The following is a 17,295-nucleotide window of genomic DNA, read 5'->3' as shown; positions in this document are numbered from 1 at the left end:
CAGTGACTCAGCCTCTTCATCCAAAGAACAAGAACGATGAGAGCCGTAGCCAGTGGCTTCTTGTGGGAAGTCACTGAGTTCATCTCCATGAAGGGACACCTGGGTGTGTCACCATCGTCACTGCTACGGCTACAGGCACAGGCACTGGTCCCTGCTGGAAATCGCTCTTGGAGAGCAGTACAGGGAACAAAATGCTCCTGTCCATGAGAATGTCCAGTCCAGTGGGGACAGCAGACACGCGGACGGGCCCATGACTGCCAGCGGCTGGGGGCACCAGCGCCTCTTGGGCACCCCCGGGCACACCTCATGTCCGCGGCACACAGACTTCACTGTGGAGATGCAAATGGGCACCACTCCCAGGCGGTCCTGAGCCTGGCCACACCACTGCACAGAGCCACGGTGCTGATGCACAGAACTAGCACAGGGCCAAGGGCGCAGACAAACGAGACAAGAACAGCAAGGGGATGCCTGTCAGTTGCAGCATATTAGGGCATGAGCCTCCGAAGTGTTCACACACAGGACAGGAGACTCTTTCTCGTCTCTGCCAGATTTCTTTACTCCCAAGATGCTGCTGTGAGAGACTCGTCATCATCTCACAGCTCATGTGGAAACACTGCAAGACCCGAAGGCACCACTCCAGCCCGAGGCACCCGGGAACAGCAGCTCGGTACCCTGCGCTGATCACCACAGCTGCCTCCCAGGAAGCCTCTGGGACACGCCAGGGGCTGTGCGCTGTCTTGTAGGCTCCACACAGGCCCCACAGCAAGGGAGGCCAAGCTGCTCACAGCCCTTCTCGCCTCCCGAATGCGAGGCCCCCGTGTCTGGGATGAGGGTCCCTGAGGAGGGGGCGTGGCAGGGCTTGTGTCAACCCCTAGCTCACCGGTTCTCACAGGCTTCCACGGCTGGGTCCCCGGCGTCCACTGCTTGCAGAACCTCGTGGACGTTCTCCTCCAGCCAGCTCATGGTGGCGGGCTCTTTCCAGAGAAAGTGTGACCTCCCAAGGTACAGGTTCACCAGCTGGCTCAGGGCAGGGGGCTGGCTGGGGGAGAGCAAGGGCTCTGAGCAGAACCCCTCTTCAGACCACAGCCTGCCTCGAGGCTGGCAGAGCCCCATGGATGGGCAGACGGGGGGTCCAGGGAGTGCCCTGTGGCCTGGAGTGAAAGGAGGCCCCTGGGCTGCTGGCCTGAGGGCGTGGGGCTGGGGCACACAGGTATGTGCCGTGAGCCTGTTGGGCAGGTTATGTTCTTTAGGAAGCAGGACTGACGTCACAGAAATGTGAAAATGCACCCAGGGCGGGTCCATCTGCGTGCACACAGGGCGAGCCCTGGAGGGCCAGGGGATGACCCCAAGGCGTGCACTTTCTCCTGTGTTTGCTCCCTCTTTGTTTATTTTGTTTTTTGAGACGGGGTCTCACCATCACCCAGGCTGGAGTGCAGCAGCACAAACACAGCTCACTGTACCTTTGACCTCCCAGGCACAAGCCGGCCTCCCAAAAAGCTGAGATTACAGGCATGTGCCGCCACGCCTGGCACCCTCTTTATATGAGCCTCGTTTTTAAGCTGGAGGCTGCTCAGCTGTCCCACCTGGACTTTTCCACACAGATGAGGGCTCCAGAGCCGTCCCATGTCAAATGACAGTCCCCGAGGCCGCCACCACAGCCCCTCCTGCTGCTGGAAGCAGGTCCCTCAGGGCCTCTCAGGATGAGTGAAAATGGCTCCCAGGCTCCGAACCCACAGGCACCCACAGATGGGCACCACCAGCCACTCTTTACCTTATTTCAGCATTGGGTCCAAAGAAGCGGTGACTGGAAACGCTGGCGTCGGGCCGCACACTGCAAGACTCGAGCAGGGGCAGGAGGACTGCAGGGGAAGCGGAGGCTCTGTGGGGGCCCTCAGCACACACCCCAGCCACTCCTAGCCCCCAAGGCAGTAAGGGACACAGCGAGGTCCTTGTCACAGACACAGCTGTTCTAAGGTGGAGAGTCTGCAGGGCCAGCGGCTTGCTTCCGGGTGGTATTCTGAGTTGCTGCTGCTGGCGTGCCCAGGGTCTGAGGCTGGGGGTCTCCTTCACACCAGCCCCAAGGAGGCTGCCAGGGCCCCCATTTGCATCCAAGGGAAGACTCACCCACCACCCTCCACACACATGGGGTTGGGTTTTTTTTTGTTTTTCTGAGACAGGGTCTCACTCTGTTGCTCAGGCTGGAGTGCGTTGGCGAAATCTCGGCTCACTGCAACCTCCACCTCCCAGGCTCAAGCGATTCTCCTGCCTCAGCCTCCCGAGTAGCTGGGATCACAGGCGCACACTACCACGCCCCGGTTAATTTTTGTATGTTTAGTAGAGACAGGGTTTCACCATGCTGGCCAGGCTGGTCTTGAACTCTTGACCTCAGGTGATCCACCTGCCTCAGCCTCCGAAAGTGCTGGGATTACAGGCGTCCGCCACCACACCCGGCTAATTTTTATATTTTTGGTAGAGAAAGGGTTTCACCGTGTTGACCAGGCTGGTCTCGAACTCCTATGCTCAAGCGATCCTCCTGCCTCGGCCTCCCAAAGTGCTGGGATTACAGGCGTGAGCCACCGTGCCCGGCCGGTTGGATGTTTTAATCACAAAGACTGGACCCCATGGCAGGCTGGTGGGAGCGGAGGCCACCTGTGCCCAGTGGAAGAGCCAGCACTGCAGGTTGAGGGCAGAGGCCGCCATGTAGGGGAACGGGCCCCGAGGGCAGAGCCTGCAGTGATCTCCAGTGTTCTGGGGTAAGTGGCAGCGGCTTCTTGGCAGCCCACCTGCCTTCAAGGGAGGTGCTGACGCTACAGCCTGTGACACAGCAGCACAGCTCTGCCACAAAGGACAGGGCCTCCCAGCCGCGTTTCCAGACACGGCTGCACTGGTGGAGCATATGGCCAGCTGCATGCAGCCCCAGAGGAGGACAAAGGTGCTTCTTAGACACAGGGGACGAAACTTTTGGGGTCAGCGAGCAGACTGAGGCCTGGCCAGGCCCCTCTGGGGGGCACGTTTCTGCCTGTGCTAGAAGCTGCCCAACCCCACGCCGTGGGCCTCCTCGGGGCCCAGACAGAGCCCTGGAAACCCACAGAACCGAGAAAGGGATGCTGCTTCCAGGACATCCTAATAGGCGATGAGTGGTCACGTAATGTGTGTATACTAGCTGCACGCAAATAACCCTCACCCCTCACCGCCCCTCGGAGGAGGCCCGTCTTAAGGAGGGATTTCACCCTCACCCCTCACAGCCCCTCGGAGGAGGCCCGTCTTTTTTTTTTTTTCTTTTTTTTTGAGACGGAGTCTCGCTATGTTGCCCAGGCTGGAGTGCAGTGGCGCGATCTCGGCTCACTGCAAGCTCTGCCTCCTGGGTTCATGCCATTCTCCTGCCTCAGCCTCCCAAGTAGCTGGGACTACAGGTGCCGGCCAACACGCCCGGCTAATTTTTTGTATTTTTAGTAGAGACGTGGTTTCACCGTGTTAGTCAGGATGGTCTCGATCTCCTGACCTCGTGATCCGCCCACCTCGGCCTCCCAAAGTGCTAGGATTACAGGCGTGAGCCACCGCGCCCGGCCGGAGGCCCGTCTTAAGGAGGGATTTCACCCTCACCCCTCACAGCCCCTCGGAGGAGGCCCATCTTAAGGAGGGATTTCACCCTCACCCCTCACAGCCCCTCGGAGGAGGCCCGTCTTAAGGAGGGATTTCACCCTCACCCCTCACAGCCCCTCGGAGGAGGCCCGTCTTTTTTTTTTTTTTCTTTTTTTTTGAGACGGAGTCTCACTATGTTGCCCAGGCTGGAGTGCAGTGGCGCGATCTCGGCTCACTGCAAGCTCTGCCTCCTGGGTTCATGCCATTCTCCTGCCTCAGCCTCCCAAGTAGCTGGGACTACAGGTGCCCGCCAACACGCCCGGCTAATTTTTTGTATTTTTAGTAGAGACGTGGTTTCACCGTGTTAGTCAGGATGGTCTCGATCTCCTGACCTCGTGATCCGCCCACCTCGGCCTCCCAAAGTGCTAGGATTACAGGCGTGAGCCACCGCGCCCGGCCGGAGGCCCGTCTTAAGGAGGGATTTCACCCTCACCCCTCACAGCCCCTCGGAGGAGGCCCATCTTAAGGAGGGATTTCACCCTCACCCCTCACAGCCCCTCGGAGGAGGCCCGTCTTAAGGAGGGATTTCACCCTCACCCCTCACAGCCCCTCGGAGGAGGCCCGTCTTTTTTTTTTTTTTCTTTTTTTTTGAGACGGAGTCTCACTATGTTGCCCAGGCTGGAGTGCAGTGGCGCGATCTCGGCTCACTGCAAGCTCTGCCTCCTGGGTTCATGCCATTCTCCTGCCTCAGCCTCCCAAGTAGCTGGGACTACAGGTGCCCGCCAACACGCCCGGCTAATTTTTTGTATTTTTAGTAGAGACGTGGTTTCACCGTGTTAGTCAGGATGGTCTCGATCTCCTGACCTCGTGATCCGCCCACCTCGGCCTCCCAAAGTGCTAGGATTACAGGCGTGAGCCACCGCGCCCGGCCGGAGGCCCGTCTTAAGGAGGGATTTCACCCTCACCCCTCACAGCCCCTCAGAGGAGGCTCGTCTTAAGGAGGGATTTCACCCTCACCCCTCACAGCTCCTCGGAGGAGGCCCATCTTAAAGAGGGATTTCACACATGCTGTCAGGCAGGGTCAGCCCCGAGGTCTGACCAGGTGGCAGCCTCACTGTGCCCGCCACATGTGCGTGGATCGAAGCTACCCAGATGCAGTCAGGGGTCACGGCTGTGCAGGCTGAGTCCATCTGGGCGGCACAGGCCTCCATTCTGCATCCCAGCATGGTGCAGAGCACAACCCTCTCGGCCACACCTCGGCGCTGCCGAGACCTTCCCCTGCTTTGCTCTCCTCCCCAGCACTGGTACAATCCAATGCCCCGCACCTCCCAGCCAGTTCTGTCTCTGCACTCTAGAACACAGGCCCCACGGGGGTCGGGATGCCTGCCACCTCCTCGTGCCTGGCTTGGCACGCAGCGGGTTCCGAGATGAGCCGACCCTCTTTCAGGTTTGGTAGGGCAGGTTTGCAGGCCCTACCAGAGAATGCATGTTTCTACAAGTGTGGGGAAGGACTGGGACCTGGCCTCCACCACCAGGAAGAGCAGCCCCCACGGCTGACAGGACACACCCCTACCCCAGGCGAGACACAGCGCTCACTCACCTCCAGGGAACATGGTGAGCGCCTGCTGTATCAGGAGAGAGGCCTTCTGCCTGGCAGAGCTCTGCTCACACTCAGGGAGGTCTGTCTGCTGGCTCAGCAGGAAATACGCCAGTGGAACAGAGAAGGCAAAATTAGGGAGCTGGGACAGGTTCCGATGAGCCTACGAGGGACGAAGAAACAGAGCGTGGAGCCTTAAGTCATAAAGACAAAATATGTGAGTTTGCAGACGCTCTGACATCACCAGTGAGCCCTACCCCGAGCAGGTATATTCTGCAGGCAACGCAAGGGCCTCTTCCTAACTCAGCATAAAGATAACTTAAAACGTCCACCTGGGGGGCTTTCCGCATGCAGAAGATACAGAGGACGTGGGAGGGCCTGAGAAGTAGACTGAGCCGGAGCGAGGACACCGTGGGGAGTGAGGGTCCCACCTGCCGCCCAGGCTCCTCTCTGAAGCTGAGCAGTTGGTGCTCTCAATGTGGAAAATTTACAGACGAGAGCAGCCCACCCCCGCGCGAGTCTGTGAGAGCAGCCCACTGCCGCGCGAGTTTCCGAGAGCAGCCCGCCACGCGAGTTTCCGAGCAGTCTACCACCGTGCCAGTTTCTCTTGCCTTTCTCAGCCTATGTCACATATTGTAGACATGTGACTCACTGCATTTTTTTCTATCAAAATGGGATCACAGACTCACAGTTTTGTGACCTTAAACACCATCATCAACATTCTTCTGCAGCCCCATTTTGGGGGACTCCCTGAGGTTTCCCTGCACCTACATTTTTGTGAGCTCCAGGAATTTCTATAAACCACATTCCTGGGGGTGAGACTTCCTGGCCAACTATGCCAAATGCTTAAAAATTCAAAATAATTTACCCACTTTCATTATCCATGAACATGTGCTATGAAAAAAATTCAACACAGAAGCAGAGAAAGTCAAGAGCTGTCGCCTTCTCCCCAGCCCCAGGCCCTGCTGGAGGTTAGCGTTACAAAGCCCGTGTCCTTCCAGATAAGTGCTGCCCCATAGGAACATAATGGGAGCCCAGGTGTCAATTTAAATTTTCTTTTTTTTTTTTTGAGACGGAGTTTCACTCTGGTTGCCCAGACTGGAGTGCAATGGCGCGATCTCGGCTCACCGCAACCTCCACCTCCCAGGTTCAAGCGATTCTCCTGCCTCAGCCTCCCGAGTAGCTGGGATTACAGGCATGCACCACCACGCCCAGCTAATTTTGTATTTTTAGTAGAGACAGGGTTTCTCCATGTTGAGGCTGGTATCAAACTCCTGACCTCAGGTGATCCGCCCGCCTCGGCCTCCCAAAGTGCTGGGATTACAGGCGTGAGCCACCATGCCCGGCCCAATTTAAATTTTCTGGGAGCTGCATTAAAGACAAAACAGGTGAGATTAATACGTTATATCTAACCCAATACACCGAAATTATCATTCCAACACGTGTCTGTGTTAGAGTTACTGGGGACAGAGCTCAAGTCTCTCCTGCTGTACTCACACTCTTCCCATGGAACAGGACAGACGTGCTGGGGGTCCCTGTGTCAGCCCCACGCAACCAACCCTCCTTCTACCTCCCGGCTGCATCTTCCTGAACTGCCCATGAGGAGCTCGGGAGTTGTCGGTTTTTCATCATTACCAGCATCACAGTCCTTGCAGGCACACGTGTGCATGTGTACACACGTTTGAGCATGTGTACACACGTATGAGGATTCTGACATAAGGCTGCTGTACTGTCCCTAGGAAAACCACATTCCACTCCGTAGAGGCGGCAAGGGAGACAAACAAGGCAGGAGGACGTGGTTCTGCCCTCAGACGATTATCGTTTCATCCCCAAACGTCCCCTGAGCGCACAGATACTGAACCAAGAAAACAGAAGGAGAAGCAGGTGTCCGTCCCTCCACGGGGCCTCACCAGGCTCGCACCCACCTCCCACTCCTGGAAGAGGCGGATCAGGTACTCGTAGTTCCGGGCCCGCAAGGCCAGGTGGTCGATGAGCAGCAGCATGCAGAGGGGGTCCTCATCCGGCTCGAGACTTCCGGAGGCAGCACAGAGAGCAGAGCAAAGGGGAACAGGGGCATCGTCAGGCTGAGAGTGGGCCTGCAGCCAGGACAGGGAGCGTGGACGGGCTTGGCCCTGAGCAGACACTCACCTCAGGATGAGCTTGCAGTACTCCAGCGCCGTGCGCGGGCAGCCTCGCTTCTCCAGGAAGCTCATCTGCTTGTAGAGGGCCAGGTAGAAGCTCCTAGATCCAAAATAGTTCCACATGAATTACAACGACACAAAGGAGAATGCTCTCTGCTCAGCGCCCCGGCCAGCACCCACTCCACCCCGCCCTCTGCTCAGCGTCCTGGCCAGTACCACCCATTCCACCCCACACACTGCTCAGCGCCCCAGTCAACACCCGCTCCACCCCACACACTGCTCAGCGCCCCAGTCAACACCCGCTCCACCCCACACACTGCTCAGCGCCCCAGTCAGCACCCGCTCCACCCCACACACTGCTTAGCGCCCCGGTCAGCACCCGCTCCACCCCCATTCTGCTCTCTGGGTTCTGCTGGCATTTTCTACGTGCCCAGCACACAGAGATCCATGTCTGGAGAGGAGGTGTGCGCTCTCCTTGTCCTTTACAGAGTTATACACGAATTTGCATACTGAAAATCAAACTTCTTTGAAATCTTTTTTTTTTTTTTGAGACGGAGTCTCGCTCTGTCACCCAGGCTGGAGTGCAGTGGCGCTATCTCGGCTCGGCTCATTGCAAGCTCCGCCTCCTGGGTTCATGCCATTCTCCTGCCTCAGCCTCTCCAAGTAGCTGAGACTACAGGCACCCGCCACCACACCCAGCTGATTTTTTGTATTTTTAGTAGAGACGGGGTTTCACCGTGGTCTCGATCTCCTGATCTTGTGATCCACCTGCCTCGGTCTCCCAAAGTGCTGAGATTACAAGCGTGAGCCACCACGCCCCGCTGAAATCTTTATCTTGTTTTTTTGTTTATTATTTATCATTTACAGGAAGAGAGTTAAAATCTCTTGTTACAATTACGATCTTAATTTATCCTCCAATCTCAACAGTGGCTAACAGCACTCAGGCTGGATACATGGAGCCCTGTGACTTTCGGATGCTGGTGGGCTGCTACTTCCATCAACAGCCCACTGTCTCTTTCGCGTCGGGAAATATTAATATTTTATAATCTACTTCAAAGAACTAAGAATTTCATTGGAAGAGACAAAACTAACATAAAGAAAACCAGTGGAGGAAATTCAGACCCAGCACACAGTGCAGACAATCTGTGCAGAACGGGTCAGCGGACCTTGGCTTGCCAGGAGGGCTGAGAGGGTAGGAGCGGATCCCACACTGCAGACAACCCAGGGCGGCCAGAGAAACAGGGCACTGCACACAGGAGAGGCAGGACAGCGGACAGAAGCTGGTCTGCTCCACAAAGGGCCCACAGGACAGGCTGCGGGAAGGCCTGGCGGAAGCCAGTCTAGGTCTGACCAGCGAGGCCTGATGCCAGAGGGATGGCTTTAGGGGCAGAAGTATCTGAAAGAAGAGAGACCTCCACATGCGGTCGCTCAGCACAGGGGAGCGAGGGTCAGGCTGACTCTGAGCTCCTCACTGATTTAAGGTCAAACCTGCAAAGCCTTCCAAAGCTTCTAAACTTGCCAGGGATGGGTTTTCTCAGCCAAACATAGAAGGAAATGCAATTGCAGAGCCCACTGTGGAGATCTGGTTTCTCAGGCTCACTTCTTCTTCTTCTTCTTTTTTTTTTTTTGAGAGACAAGGTCTCACTCTGCTGCCCAGGCTGGAGTGCACTGGTACCATCTCAGCTCACTGCAGCCTCGACCTCCTGGGCTCACTTGAGTGATACTCTCGCCTCAACCTCCCAAGTAGCTGGGACCACAGGCACGCGCCACCAGGCGCAGCTAGTTTTTAAAATGTTCTGTAGTGGCCGGGCGCGGTGGCTCACGCCTGTAATCCCAGCATTTTGGAAGGCCGAGGCGGGTGGATCGCAAGGTCAGGAGATGGAGACCATCCTGGCCAACACAGTGAAACCTCGTCTCTACTAGAAAATACAAAAAATTAGCCAGGCGTTGTGGCACGTGCCTGTAGGCCCAGCTACTCGGGAGCCTGAGGCAGGAGAATGGCTTGAACCCGGGAGGTGGAGCTTGCAGTGAGCCGAGATCGCGCCCCTGCACTCCGGCCTGGGTGACAGAGTGAGACTCCGTCTCAAAAAAAAAAAAAAAAAAAAAATGCTGTTTTGAGACTGCATGTTGCCACGGTGCTCAGACTGGTCTTGACACCTGGGCTCAAGCAACCCTCCCACCTCGGCCTCCCAAAGTGCTGGGATTACAGGCGTGAACCACTGTGCCCAGCCAGGCTCACTTCTAACACAAACATTTATTTTTATTTTTATTTTTTTAAGAGATGGGGGTCTCACTATGGTGCCCAGGCTGGACTTGAACTCCTGGGCTCAGCAGACCTCCCACTCTGACCTCCACAGTAGCATCAGGCATGTCCACAGACAAAGGTAAACCTGGGCTGAGACAATCCCATCCCTCTATCCTTAAGCCCAGAGAGAGGAAGGTGGGTCACTCTGGACCTGTGGGCCCTGGTCCACCCTGGAGGGCAGCCATGAGGTGCCCACTGCACCTCCCCCAGCCTCACTCGCAGGAGAAGGGAAGGGGAGCTGCGTCACCTCCAGGGCAGCTGCACTCACCTGTTCTCGGGTCTGCGGTAATCCAGCCGGCAGGCCCCACTGGTGAGACTGAACAGGGGGTGGAACGCACATTCCATGCTGTACAGCGCTCTCTCTGTGGGCACAGGGACGCCAGGGGAGGGTGTCATGGCCACACACAGCAACCACGGCCCCTCCTCTGATAATGGACAACAAGGAAAGGTCTGGACGGAAGGTCACGAAACTAGAGTCCTGGACACTGAGAGGGCAGACATGCCCCTGGGCACCCTGGATGCCACGCTGCATTTATTTCAACCACAGAACTTGTGAGCTTGACATGGTAACACTTTCAACACCATGAGGCACAACTGCTGCCACGTCCTGACAGAACCAGGCGTCCATGTGTGCAGCACAGATGTGTCCACCTAAGACTGCGTGTGCATGCTGACGTAAGCACTATTATTTACAACAGCCCACACGGCCGTCAACTAATGATGGATACACAACATGTGGTCCGTCCACACAGTGGAGTATTACTAAGCCATAAAAACGAACGACGTTCTGATCGACGCTACAGTGAGGATGAACCTTGAAAACTTCATTGTAAATAAAAGCCAGAGGGCGGGGCGTGGTGGCTCATGCCTGTAATCCCAGCACTTTGGGAGGCTGAGGTGGGTGGATCACAAGGTCAGGAGATCGAGACCATCCTGGCCAACACGGTGAAACCCCATCTCTACTAAAAATACAAAAAATTAGCCAGGTCTGGTGGCGGGCGCCTGTAGTCCCAGCTACTCGGGAGGCTGTGGCATATATTAAACACCAACAAACAAAAACTTTAAATGGGTAAGTTTTGTGCTACGTAGGTTGTATCTCAATAAAGCTGTCATGGATATCCTGGCAACCCCTGTCATCTTACACCATCGCATCTGTCTTGATAGCTTGAGGTGCTCCCACAGCTGAGGGGAATGGGGTGGGGGCTCTGCCTTACCTACGAGGTCTCGAGCCATCTCCTGATCCTCTTGAAAGCGGCAGGCATCGCTGAGCTGCAGGAGTGAGTCAACGTGGTAAGGGCTCGTCTGGAGCAGAACCTACCAGAAGGGAGGACAGCCCTGGAGGAAAGGCACTCAGCAAGGCCCCAGCTCCCAGGCATGCCTTTTTTTCAGACATTTAAAACCAGCGGAGGCTGGGCGCAGTGGCTCACGCCTGTAATCCCACCACTTTGGGAGGCTGAGGCAGGAGGATCACTTGATATCAGGAGTTCAAGACCAGCCTGGCCAACGTGGCAAAACCTGGTCTCTAATAAAAATACAAAAATTAGCCGGGTGTGGTGGCGTGTGCCTGTAATTCCAGTTACTCGGAAGGCTGAGGCAGGCGAATCGCTTGAACCCGGGCCGAGACTGCGCCAATGCACTCTAGCTTAGGCGACAGAGTGAGATTCCGACTCCAAAAACAAAAACAAAAACGGGGGAATTACCGGGTCGACACTCACAACGTCCCCCCAACTCAAAATAGGCTAGTTATTATTGCTAAGCTGAACCAATTATATGACTTAAAGCAAGAACTCAGAACCTGACATGCCCAGGCCAGGGGCCACCTAACTCCCCACTAAGCCCCAAGAAAGAGGAATGGAAAGCAGCAGCCTGCTTTTCCCACAGGGAGATGACGGGGAGCTCTGCGGAGGCTGTCCGGGGTTGCAAGGGGAGCTGTCCGGCGGCTGCGTGAGGGCCGCCCGGGGGCTGTCTGGGGCTGCGCGGGGGCCGTCCGGGGCTGCAAGGGGAGCTGTCCAGGGGCTGCATGAGGGCTGTCCAGGGTTGCACCGGGGCTGTACGGGGACTGTCCAGGTCCGGGGCTGTCTGGGGCTGCGCGGGGGCCGTCCGGGGCCGTGTGGGGGCCGTCCGGGGGCTGCACGGGGGCCGGGAATCTGAGCTGCTCGCCTGCACTGAGCCGCAGGAGGCAAGGGCAGCAGTGAGAAGCCCCAGAGTCCTGGGCCTGCATCACACGGCACTACTGCGACGGTCCCCAGGAACGGCTGAGAGAGCAGCGCTCCAGCCTCTCCTCTGAGTATGGATGGAGCTCGCTTGGCCTAGAGCCTCCGAACACATCTCCTTCTGGTCACAGGGCCAGACCGCCCTGCAGAGACTGGCACCCTTCCTGTTGGGAAGGGCAGGAGGCAGCATGCCTCCCCCAGCCACCAGGGAAGCAGGCGGCCCAGGGCAGTGGTGGCTACATGGCCCCTGCTCCTGTCAGGGGCTGCAGGGACCACGCACCACGATGTTGTTCGGCTCCATAGACTCCACGGCCACCAGGAACTTGTGCTGAGCCTGCTGGTACTCCTCACTGTGCTCAAACGCAAAGAAGGAGAGGCCTTTTTTTGATTCCAGCAGCCGCATGGACAGACCTGGGAGGGGAGAGTGCTCAGGGAGGGTGTGCCGGGAGCAGGGACGTGGGCAGCTCCGAGCACAGCCCTCACCTTCGTGGTGTTCTGGATGAGGCCTCTGCGATATCGACAAACTTGACCTGAGTGTGTACTCATGGGTGTCACCAGCTCCGGACACCTTCCCAAAACACCCGCCGTCTGGTCTACACCAGGAGACGGCATCCCGTCTGCTTTAGTTTCCTATCAAGACGTGTTTGCCTCCAGAACTCGGATACAGCTCTAGCCCCACTGGCCTGGAGGGAATGTCAGGGACAAGGACACACACAGTCCACAGATCGCCAGATCTGACCACGCCGAGCACTGTCCCCAGACCACGTCTGATTGAGGAGAATGTCCGGGGTGGCTGTGGAAGGACAGGGTTGGAGTGCGGTGGCACAGGTGGCCACAGCGCCAGGCCTCTGAAGCCACAGAGCTTTGTAACGTGTGACCACCCTCTCACTTGGCTCCTCTTGTCTGACTGGGTGTATGGGACCCAGTTTCTTCTGATAAACCTGGAAAGCTCAGCCTCCCAGGACCTCCATGGACTAGGTCCCCTGTAGTGATACCTTCTTGATGGCCCTGCCCAAGGCCCCAGTCCTGCAGGAATACATGGCCATGGAACCCCTGTCTGCAGTGAGCAGGGGTTCCTGCCAGGAAGGGAAGGGGCCGTGAGCAGCGGGGTTCACCTTCTGACAGCACAGGCCTCGCTCCTAGATGTGTCCTTACAGAATGTATGCAGGCAATCTCCGGCACCCCCACAGACACAGGCGCAGGAGAAGCGGCCGTGGGAGCCATGGCAGCGCTGACAGCAGCAGCCATGCCGATCACCAAGGGCACCACACAGCTCCCTTCCCACAAGCTGTCCTTGCCCTGGCCCCTGAGGGCCCCCACAGTTCAGCCACTGCAGAGTGGAGGCCAGTGTGGAAGGCCTCCTGACACTTCCCCACACCACACAACCAAGCACCCAACACTCCATGCCTGTCTTCACTGTTGCAATTCATCTTAAAATCACTTATTAGTTTGCAATAATATACAAAATATTGCAGTTTAAAATGAACTCGATTGCTTCCATAAGGGAAAGGTCGATGGCAGAATGGTAGGAAGAACCTGCGTTAAAAGACAGTCACACAAAGACTGTGCCTGGGAGGCTCCGTGTTGAGGTACTGGGCCAGGCCTCCAGCACTCAGGCCCTCAGTGTGGCAACAAACAGTCACACACTGCACACTCCTGGAGCGCTCCTGGAGCAAAGAGTCTCGGCTCAAGAGGCACTGACGCCCCTGGTGCCCAGCGCAGGCCAGTGCACAGAACACACCCCCCCGCCGCCCTCCACCCCCAGCAGCCTCTGCAGACCCTCACCTGGTTTGCTGTACCGGGGCCAGTGCACAGACAACGCCCCCCAACCCTCCATCCCCAGCAGCATCTGCAGACCCTCACCTGGTTTGCTGTAGCGGGGCCAGGTGCTTTTAGGGGTGGTCAGCCATGTGCACTTGGGGTACACACGTTGTCTCTGCCGTGGCCTGGGGAGAACGGGACACAGGTACAGCTTTACTTCCTGTGGCGTGTGGGGACCAAGGCTTGGCTGCCTGATCCCTGCACGGGCTGTGGAAGCAAAACTGAGGGGCAGAGAAGGCATGTGGGGCAGGGTGGGGACGCATTAAGGACAGGATGCAAACAAGCGTCAGCAACTGCTGTGGGACGGGTGCAGCAGGGAGGGCCCCATAGAGAGAAAGAAACAATTCTGGCTGGGCACGGGGGCTCACACCTGTAATCCCAGCACTTTGAGAGGCCAAGATGGGAGAATTTCTTGAACCCAGGAGTTCGAGACTGGCCTGGGCAAGACAGCAAAACCCCATTTCTACAAAGGGTTTTAAAAATTAGCCTGGCGTGATGGCCTGCACCTGTGATCCCAGCACTCCAGCCTGGACGACAGAGCAAGGCCCTGTCTCAAGAGGAAAATAAAAAAAGAAAACGAAAAGAAAGAGAACAACGTACTAATATCCACATGCCCATCACTCAACTTAAGAAACCAACCATCTCTGAGGTAACAGCAGCTCCATGCCTTTTCCATGCTGCCCCACCTGCCCAGCTCAGATACCAGCTGACCAGTGCTTAGAGTGGGCCTGACCCCTGTGGCAGAGACCCCCAAATAACAGAGGTCAGGGCACTCTGCCTGAGCACACAGGCACCAGACAGGTGGGGCGTGGCAGCCGCGGCAGCACAGACAGCAGCAGCCATGCCCACGGTCACCATCAGCACGGTGCAGCTCCCTTCCCACGGGGCCATCCCTGCCCTGGCCCCGGGCTCCCCACAGTTCAGCCACCGCAGAGTGGAGGCCAGTGTGGTGGGCCCTCCTGACATGAAGGTGGCCCCAGCCTGCTTCTCCTGCCTGTAGCACACGCCCAGGCCTAGGAGAGTCAGCCCTTCAGCACTCTCCTGGGCCAGATGTACAGAATCCCAGGGATGGCCTGACCTGCGGTGAGCTATCCCACAAAACAAGTAAGGAAGCCTCCAGAACAGACCCAACGAGGCAGCCTGGGCAGATGCCAGGAGGGGGCAGGGGACAGGAGCCTGGAGGAGCTCTGAAGGCTGGCAGGCGCCCTGAGCAATGGGAGGAGTGTGCTGAAGTGCGGGGGCGATGAGCTGACCGGGCTGTCGTAGTAGGAAGTCAAGGACCCAAGAGAAAGCAGTGCCTGTTATTCTGAGCTTCTGAGAGAACCACCAGAAGGAGAAATGGAAACAGGCCAGGTCTTTGTCTTGGAGGAGCAGGACAAGGAATGAATAAAAAGGAAACTGTGGCTTCTCCATGTAAGTCTTTTGGTAGGACTTAAATTTTTAAAGAAATAAATAAACAAAAAAGTTTAATAATACTATAAAAATAATAAAGGCAATTATTGTCAACTAATTACTACGAGTAATCAGTATTAACAGTTATAATACTAATTACTATTAATAATTATAATTTGCAGAAATAAAACCATGCAAAAATATAAAGAAATGACCAAGACAGACCAAGCAGATGCAAACAAAGGGTGGGACGAGGTGGAACCCTCAGCTCAGAGAAATGCAGATGACAAAGTGACATTTTAAAGTCTATTTTTAATTAATATTCCCGAAGAAACCCATCAACACCAAAAATGTAAAGTAAAATATAAAGCAAAACCTGTTAGAAATCCAGGGAAGGCGTGAACAACAGCATATGAAAACATCCTTGATCTACCCACAATCAAAACCCCAACACTTCTGCCCACACACGACGGCAGGTTTCCAAACCACTACCGTCGACTACGAGTAAGAAGGTGAAGGACCTGGGCAGACACTCAGTGTGAGCCACGTAACTCTACTGAAGGCACTGGCAGCATGCAGGATATATACTCATTCTTGGGCAGTTTCACAGAAATGCCTGCAGACACCGGGGACTGTAGCCAACATCTGGACACATGCTACCATTGGGGTGAGGAAATGACCTGGGTATACCATGGTGCAGAAACAACACTTAGGCTGGGTGTGGTGGCTCACGCCTGTAATCCCAGCACTTTGGGAGGCCGGGCGCAGTGGCTCAGGGCTGTAATCCCAGCACTTTGGGAGGCCGAGACTGGCGGATCACTTGAGGTCAGGAGATCGAGACCAGCCTGGCCAACATGGTGAAACCCCGTCTCTACCAAAAATACAAAAATTTGCCGAGCATGGTGGCACTCGCCTGTAATCCCAGCTACTTGGGAAGCTGAGGCAGGAGAATCGTTTGAACCCAGGAGGCGGAGGTTGCAGTGAGCTGAGATCGCACCACTGAGCTCCAGAGCCTAGGTGACAGAGCGAGACTCCATTTCAAAAAAAGAAAACAATGCTTAGAACTCAGACGTGCAGACCAGGCACGGTGGCTCACACCTGTAATCCCAGCACTTCGGGAGGCTGAGGCGGGTGGATCACCTGAGGTTGGGAGTTCGAGACGAGCCTGACCAACATGGAGAAACCCCATCTCTACTAAAAACACAAAATTAGCTGGACATGGTGGCACATGCCTGTAATCCCAGCTACTCAGGAGGCTGAGGCAGGAGAATCACTTGAACCCGGGAGGCGGAGGTTGTGGTGAGCCAAGATTGAGCCATTGCACTCCAGCCTGGGCAACAAGAGCAAAATTCTGTCTCGAAAAAAAAAAAAAAGAACTCAGACGTGCAAACCCAGGGCATGTTATAGACCAGCAATACTCTCCATGGTCCAATAAAACAGGATGTGTCTGGCTGGGCGTGGTGGCTCATGCCTGTAATCCTAGCACTTTAGGAGGTAGAGGGAGGAGAATCGCTTGAAGCCAGGAGTTTGACATCACCCTGGGCAACAAAGTAAGACCTTGTTTCTATAAAAAATAAAATAAAATAAATTAGCGGTGGCATGTGCCGGTAGTCCCAGCTATTTGGGAGACTGAGATGGGAGGATCACTTGAGGCCACGAGTTCAAAACCAGACTGGACAACCCAGCAAGACCCTGTCTCTAAAAAATAAAAAAATAAAAATAAATAAATAAAAAAAAGACAAAGCCTTCTGGACACTTCGATGGAGAGTCCAGAGGTGGAATATACCTCCTACATAAAGTCCCAGAAGCAGACACCCCCCCTGCTCTTCCTCCTCTAAGGAGCTGAAAGACCCTGTGCTCCCCATCGCAGCCAGCCATCCTCATCTGGGGCTGCCCAACTGCTAAGAACTACTGAATGGACACAGATGAAATTTATCTGGGCCGGGCGCCATGGCTCACGCCTGTAATCCCAGCACTTTGGGAGGCCAAGGCAAGTGGATCACCTGAGGTCAGGAGTTCGAGACCAGCCTGGCCGACATGGTGAAGCCCCGTCTCTACTAAAAAAAAAAAAAAAAAAAAAAAAAATTAGCTGGGCGTGGTGGCGTGCACCTGCAATCCCAGCTACTCGGGAGGCTGAGGCAGAATTGCCTGAACCCAGGAGGCGGAGGTTGCAGTGAGCCAGGATCACACCACTGCATTCCAGCCTGGGCGACAGAGCAAGAATCTGCCTCAAAAAAAAAAAAA

At 55.8% G+C, this 17,295-nt stretch overlaps 1 protein-coding gene across 1 annotated transcript in view; it reads right to left on the bottom strand.

Moving 5' to 3' along the window:
* Positions 1 to 17,295, bottom strand: part of TCF25 (TCF25 ribosome quality control complex subunit) — a 37,788-nt gene that overhangs the window by 5,403 nt on the left and 15,090 nt on the right. Inside the window, exons 6-14 of the mRNA NM_014972.3 lie at positions 13,702 to 13,784; positions 12,119 to 12,249; positions 10,840 to 10,939; positions 9,894 to 9,987; positions 7,328 to 7,420; positions 7,105 to 7,210; positions 5,183 to 5,342; positions 1,772 to 1,859; positions 881 to 1,039 (exon numbers count right to left, since the gene is read on the bottom strand). Coding sequence (NP_055787.1) covers positions 881 to 1,039; positions 1,772 to 1,859; positions 5,183 to 5,342; positions 7,105 to 7,210; positions 7,328 to 7,420; positions 9,894 to 9,987; positions 10,840 to 10,939; positions 12,119 to 12,249; positions 13,702 to 13,784 — 1,014 coding nt within the window. The remainder of the gene's footprint in view (positions 1 to 880; positions 1,040 to 1,771; positions 1,860 to 5,182; positions 5,343 to 7,104; positions 7,211 to 7,327; positions 7,421 to 9,893; positions 9,988 to 10,839; positions 10,940 to 12,118; positions 12,250 to 13,701; positions 13,785 to 17,295) is intronic.

The sequence above is a fragment of the Homo sapiens genome, chromosome 16, assembly GCF_000001405.40.
Source record: "Homo sapiens chromosome 16, GRCh38.p14 Primary Assembly".
Lineage (NCBI taxonomy): Eukaryota > Metazoa > Chordata > Mammalia > Primates > Hominidae > Homo > Homo sapiens.
Note: the sequence above shows the minus strand (reverse complement) of the source record. Positions and strands in the feature narration are given on the sequence as shown.